We start from the raw sequence: 6,216 nt of genomic DNA, 5'->3' as shown, positions 1-6,216 counted from the left end.
TGCAAACAGCCCTTTCAGAAATAGAGTCAGAAAAGCAGTTTCCATCGACTATCTCACAGTCTCAAAACGCCTTCTTCTCCAGTGGAACTTGACAATGGAGATCCACCAAAAGCGCCCTGAGGTTGAGCATTTTGAGATCCCACAGTGGGTTTTCACAGGCAGCCTTTTTCCCGATACCAGGCCAGCTCTGGCTGTACCATTTTCCTCTGCTTAGGCAGGCTGACAGCTCTGACACACAGGTTCCCAAGCCTGCCTCACAAATGCACATGTGCTAGTCTCAGGGCACCAGGCCTAACTGTGAGCTATGGCTAGTGTCTCAATGAACTTTGCCATTGCCTACTCTCAAGTCCCTGCAGCTTGGCGGAGAAGGAGACCTCCACGGAGGAGCATTGGGGGTGGACTCTCCCCTATCTTCTCCGTAGGATCCCCTGGATATTCCTCTGATCCTAGGAGACTGTAGACATGAGCCAGCCTGAAGAAATGTCAAGCACAGCCCTAGGAATAAACTGTGAAATCCATAACGATCCAAAGTGATCTGCAGGTTTCCTCAGGCCTGCCTAGATGTAGGAATGACTCTTGTTGAAATTTGGCCCTTTCTGATTTCTTGGTACATCCCACCTGTGTTCCCCAGGGTTGTTCTCTCCCAGGTGGGGCTTTCTGCAGAACCAAGCAGCCTCAGGAGCTGCTGAGCTGTGTGTTTCTGTGATAAAGTTGTGAGTGATAGATGTTTGCGTGTGTGTGTGTGTTATTTTGGGTTTGTGTGTCTATGTGTATGTCTGTGTGTGCCTGTAAGTAGAGTGTGCTTAAAGGAATGTGGCTAAAGAACTTCAGTCCTTCTTTTTTTTTTTTTTTTTGAGTCTCCCAACCTTTTGTTGACATGTCTGTGTGGCTCTGCTTGGGCTGCAGGGCTCAGTGTTCTTTATTTTTCTGTGGATCACTAATTCAAAAAGAACTGGGAGTTGGGCCAAGGCATGCCAACATCCAAATCACCTCCCCATGCAAAAAAAAAAAAAAAAAAAAAAAAAAAAAAAGGCACCCTTTTAGAAAGAAGATGAGCACACCACACCCAAAAAACAGATGTCTCCCAGAGATTCATTGTCCTGTGGGAAACCCAGGGAGCACACTAGCAGTCTCATCTGCAGGCCTTTTGAATTTACCTCAAATTTGGTTCCCAGCCTAGCAGGTGCTTCATGTCATGAGGGGGCACTGCTCCATCATCTTGGGATTTCATTGTAGGACATATAGTGTGAGAATCAATAAGGTCAGATGGAGTGAGGATACAATCTGGAGAGGGGCGGATGGGGTCCTGCAACTTCACTTGCAAAAAAAAAAAAAAAAAGAAGAAGAGGACGGATGACACAGAAGATGCTTCCAACTCCATCCCCACATTCCTTAATTGCACACGCAGTCCACACCAAGGCCCGCTGTTCAAGTGGGAGTCCTCCAACATGCAAGGAAGATTGGGAGTGCAAATTGGGGCCATCCTGGCAAACTCCTGATTTGAGGGCTTTCATTGCTGTAGCCAAATGAAAGTGGAATCGATTGATGCTGGGTGCAAGCCAGCCTAAAGAAACATCAAGCAGAGCCCCAGGAATAAACTGTGAAATCCCTAAGGATCCAAAAGGATCTGAAAAAGGCCTCAGGCCTTCCTAGACATTGTAGCAGTTAGTCTTTTTGAAACTTGCCACACTGTGATTTCTAGTTTCAGCCAGCCTGTGTTCCTTAGGCATTGTCTCTTCCAGGTGGGGCTTCCTGCAGAACCATGCAGCCTCAGAAGCTGCTGGGCTGTGTGTTTCTGTGGGAGTGTTGTGAGTGTTGGGGTGTGTGTGTGTGTGTGTATCTGTGTGCCTGTAAGTGGAATCTCTTAAAGGAATGTGGCTATTGCCCTAAAGCACTTCTTATTTTTGAGACTCCTAACTTTTGGTGGCCTGTCTGTGTGGCCTTGCTTGGTCTATGGGATTACAACTTCTTCATTTTTTTGTGTGGATCATGAATCCACAGTGAACTGGGAGATTGGCTGAGACATGCCAAAGTTAAATTATGTCCCACTGCAAAAAACAAAACAAAACAAAACCCTCTTCTAGGAAGAAGAATAGCAAACCACACCCAAGAGCAGACATCTCCCAGTGTTTCATGTTCTGCAGCAAACCCAGGGAGAGACACTGGCAGTCCTGTTCTCAGGGCCCCTTGAATCTACCGCAAATTTGATTCCCAGCTGAACACGTGCTTTTCATCACAATGGGACAATCCTCCATTGTCTTGGGATTTTATTCTTGGACACAGAGTACGAGCAGTAATAAGGTCACATAGGTTTGAAGATACAGTCTGGTAAGGGGTGGTTGGAGTCATGCATATTCGCCTGCAAAAATGGTGAAGACAGATTACACTGTCACAATTTAATGACTGGGCATCTGTAATACATTTAAAACCATAAATTCCTGTTACTGACACCAACAGGGAAACTCTTGTTCTCCCTCTTCTGTCGGATGGGTGCATGATTCCCATAGGATGAGAAGCATGCAGTCATGTCTGGCTTTTGCCTGGTAATCTGTGGTCTGTTTCATTTCCACTGTAGGTCCTTTCTCATTGTGGAGAGGGTCATTCAGCCATTGCTGGATGCGACTGCCACTCACCACAGATCTTTTGGCTGCCAGCGATTTTAGGGAGCAAAATGGCCTTCAGGTAGGCTGGCTGCACTTCAGGTTGTGGGTCGTTGTCTCATTGTGGAGGCTGAGGTTGTTTGCACTTCTGAGGAAGCTTTTAGGTACTCTGACAGGAGTATCTGAATGTTGCTTGGACTCCAGCAAAAGTCAGCTCATTCTCTCGGGTGAGCCTTGAGTTTTTTGTGCTTTCATGGGGTGTCGCCATTGCCCCACAACGGCACTATTGGACGCAGTTTTCAGGCTTGCAATAGCCACAGACAGCCTCTAAGACAATGTGTCAACCTCATCTGCATCCCTGAGAGGGAAGTTCAAGGTGTGAGAACTCTGATCCATCTTAGACTTGCATTTGTTGTGGTTTATGCCTTTCCCAGAGAGCCCCTGGGGGACCCAGAATGAAGAGAGGCAGTGAGGACAGGGGTTTGGCCATATTTCACTGACAACCACCTCTGGGGTCTCACTTATGATTCCATGACACAAAGACCCCTCAACAACTCACCAGACTCTATTCCAATCCCTATGGGACCTGATTCTTACAAATAGCCTCTTTCAAGAATGAAGTCAAAAGAGCAGTTTTGCATGACAGCCTAACAGTCTCAAAACACCTCTTCCTCCAGTGGGACCCGACCAAGGAGATGGATGGAAGGGGTCCTAAGGTTGACTTATTTAGGGTCCCCCAGTTGGTTATCACAGGCAGCCTTTCTCCTGATATGAGGCCGGCTCTGCCTATACCATTTTCCTTTGCTTAGGCAGAATGGCTGCTCTGACAGCTGAGCCCCTGGGCCTGCCTTGCGAATGTGCATCTGCTAGCCTCAGGGCACCACCCCTGAGCTGTGATCTTTGGCTTGCATCACAATCAATAACTCTTTGCCTAGTGAAAAGTCCCTGAGGCTTGGCAGAGAAGGAGACCTCCGTGAAGATGCATCATGGTGGACTGTGGTCTCTTCTCTGTGGAATCCTCGGGAGAGTCCCATGATCCTAGGAGAGGGTGAGAGGGCAGATGTAAGCCAGCATTAAGAAGCCTCAAGCAGAGCCGCAGGAATAATCCGTGAATTCCCTAACAATCCTAAAGGATCTGCAGGATGCTTCAGGCCTGCCTAGATGTTGTAGGGGTGAGTATTTTGAAATTGGTCCCACTGTGATTTCTACATACAGCATGCCTGTGTTCCCCGGGATTGCTCTCTCCCACATGGGGCTTCCTGCAGAACCACACAGCTTCAGAAGCTGCCAGGAGTGTGTTTCTGTGGGAGTGTTGTGAGTGTTGGATGTCTGCATTTGTGTGTGTGTTTCCCTGTTTGTGTGCATGCCTGTAAGTGGAATCTGCTTAAAAAAATGTGGCTAACACACTGCAGCGCTTTCTTGTTTTTGAGTCTCCCAGCCTTTTGGTGGTCTGTCTTTGTGGCTTTTCTTGGGCTGCTGGGTTCCATGTTCTTTATTTTTCTGCAGATCATGAATCCGCTGTAAATTGAGAGGCTGGCTGAGACCTGCCAGGTCCAAATAACCTCCCCCTGAGGAAAAAAAAAAGCCACTCTTCTAGAAAGAAGAGGAGCACATCAAACCCAGGAACAGAAATATTTCACTGCTTTATTCTCCAGTGTACATCCCATGGAGAAACACTAGCAGTCCAGTCCTCAGGGCCCCTTGAATTTACTTCATATTCAGTTCCTAGCTGAGCAGGACCTTCACGTCACTCCTTCATTGTCTTGGAATTTCATTTTGGGACAGATACTTTGAGCAGCCATAACATCAGATAAAGGTGAGGATACAAGCTGGTGAGGGGTGGATGCGGTCCCACACATTCACCTGCAAAAAATGTGAAGATAGATGTCACAGAATGTGCTTCCAACTGTATCCCCACATTTCCTTAATTACACAAGCAAGTCCATACCATGGCCTGGTGTACAGTTGAGAGCACCACAATGTGCAGGGAATGTTTGGAGTGCAAACTGGAGCCATCCTGGCAAACTCCCTATTTGAGGACTATCATACCAGGAGCTAAATGGAAGTGAGATCATTTCACGTGAGGTTTGATGTGGCCACCACACTTGTCTCTTTTTTCCTGACTTCCATGTACCTCATCGGCCTAAGTTCTCCTGGGCCTGGCTCCACATCTTCCACGTTAACCATTTACCACTTCACGGAAGATGACCCTCAAAGTAATCCATTTCATGAGTGTTTTCTTTTAAACACTGTCAGATTTTAATGACTAGGCAGTTTCGATAGTTTTAAAACTAAATTTCTGTAACAGTAGCCAACAAAGAAACTCTTGTTATCCAGCTTTTATCAGAGGGCTGCTTGATACCTGTAGGAGAAGCAGGCAGCTGTACCTGGCTTTTGCCTGGGAATTTAGGCTCTGTTTCATTTCATCTGCTTGTCTTGTTTCATTGTGGAGGGCTCTTTCATCGGGCTGTTGTTGGATGAGGCTACCTCTCACCACAGAATTATTGGCTTCCAGGGATTTCAGAGAGCAAAAGGGACTTTGGGTAGGCTGACTGCACTTTAGGTTTGGGGTCATGGTTTACTTGTGGGGGCTGAGATTGTTTGCACTTTTCAAGAGGCTTTTGGGTCCTGTGACAGAAATCTCTAAACGTGGCTTGGACTACAGCACATGGCAGCTCATTCTCTCATGTGAGCCTTGATTTTCCTTTGCTTTCATGGGGGGTCCACAGTGCCCTTCAATAGCACTACCTGACAAACATTTCAGGATTGCAATTGTCACAGATGTCCTCTGAGACACTGTCTCATCCTCACCTGCACCTGTGGGAGTCCACTTAGAGCTGTGAGAATACTGCTCCACCTTGGACTTGCCTTTGTCATGGTTCCTCCATTTCACCAAGAGCCCCTGCAAGACTCAGGATGAATGGAGGCAGTGAGGTTAAGAACCTGGCCATATTTCACTGTCACCCACCTCTGGAGTCACAGGTATGATTCTATCACCCAAAGAACCCTCCACAACTCACCAGACAACATTCCAGTCCCCCTGGGACTCAATTCTTGCACACAGCCTCTTTCAGGAATAAAGTCAGAAGAGCAGTTCTCAGAGACCCCATCACAGTCTAGACATCTCCTCCTCCAGTGGGAACAGATCACGGGTACAGCTGAAAGGGGCCCCAAGTATGAGACTTTTAGGGTTCCACAGTGGGTTATTGCATACAGCATTTTTTTTTCCCAGTACCAGGCCCACTCTTGCCTGTACCATTTTCCTCGGCTTAGGCTGGCTGACAGCTCTGACTGCCGAGTGCCAAGCCCACTGGTGAATGCACATGTGCTAGTCTCAGGGCACCAGGCCTGAGCTGTGAGCTCTGGCTAGCCTCACCATGAATGCCACAATTCCCTGAGGCTTGGCTGAGAAGGAGACCTCTGTGGAGGTGCATCAGCCAAGGAATCTTGCCTGTCTTCTTTGTGGGATACACAGGATAGTCTCATGATCCTAGGAGAGAACAGACGTGAGCTAGCCAGAAGATATGTCAAGCCAAGCCCCAGGAATAAACCGCAAAATCTGTAAGGTTCCAAAAGGATCTGCAGGATGCCTCAGGCCTGCCTACACATGTAGAGG

The 6,216-nt window shown here is 47.6% G+C and overlaps 2 long non-coding RNA genes across 2 annotated transcripts in view; one reads left to right on the top strand and one right to left on the bottom strand.

Moving 5' to 3' along the window:
* The first annotated feature begins 3,515 nt into the window (after positions 1 to 3,515).
* LOC102725532 (uncharacterized) overlaps positions 3,516 to 6,216 on the top strand; it is a 45,849-nt gene continuing 43,148 nt past the window's right edge. The window contains exons 1-2 of the long non-coding RNA XR_001756092.1: positions 3,516 to 3,772; positions 4,107 to 4,416. This is a non-coding gene — a long non-coding RNA (uncharacterized LOC102725532). The remainder of the gene's footprint in view (positions 3,773 to 4,106; positions 4,417 to 6,216) is intronic.
* On the bottom strand, positions 4,222 to 6,069 carry TTTY6B (testis expressed transcript, Y-linked 6B). Its single transcript, NR_002175.3, has 3 exons — positions 5,977 to 6,069; positions 5,621 to 5,758; positions 4,222 to 4,463 (listed from the first exon to the last, which is right to left on the bottom strand). It is a non-coding gene; the product is annotated as a testis expressed transcript, Y-linked 6B (long non-coding RNA).

This window comes from Homo sapiens, chromosome Y (assembly GCF_000001405.40).
Source record: "Homo sapiens chromosome Y, GRCh38.p14 Primary Assembly".
Classification (NCBI taxonomy): domain Eukaryota; kingdom Metazoa; phylum Chordata; class Mammalia; order Primates; family Hominidae; genus Homo; species Homo sapiens.
The sequence above is the reverse complement of the archived record's forward strand: the minus strand, read 5'-3'. Positions and strand labels throughout refer to the sequence as shown.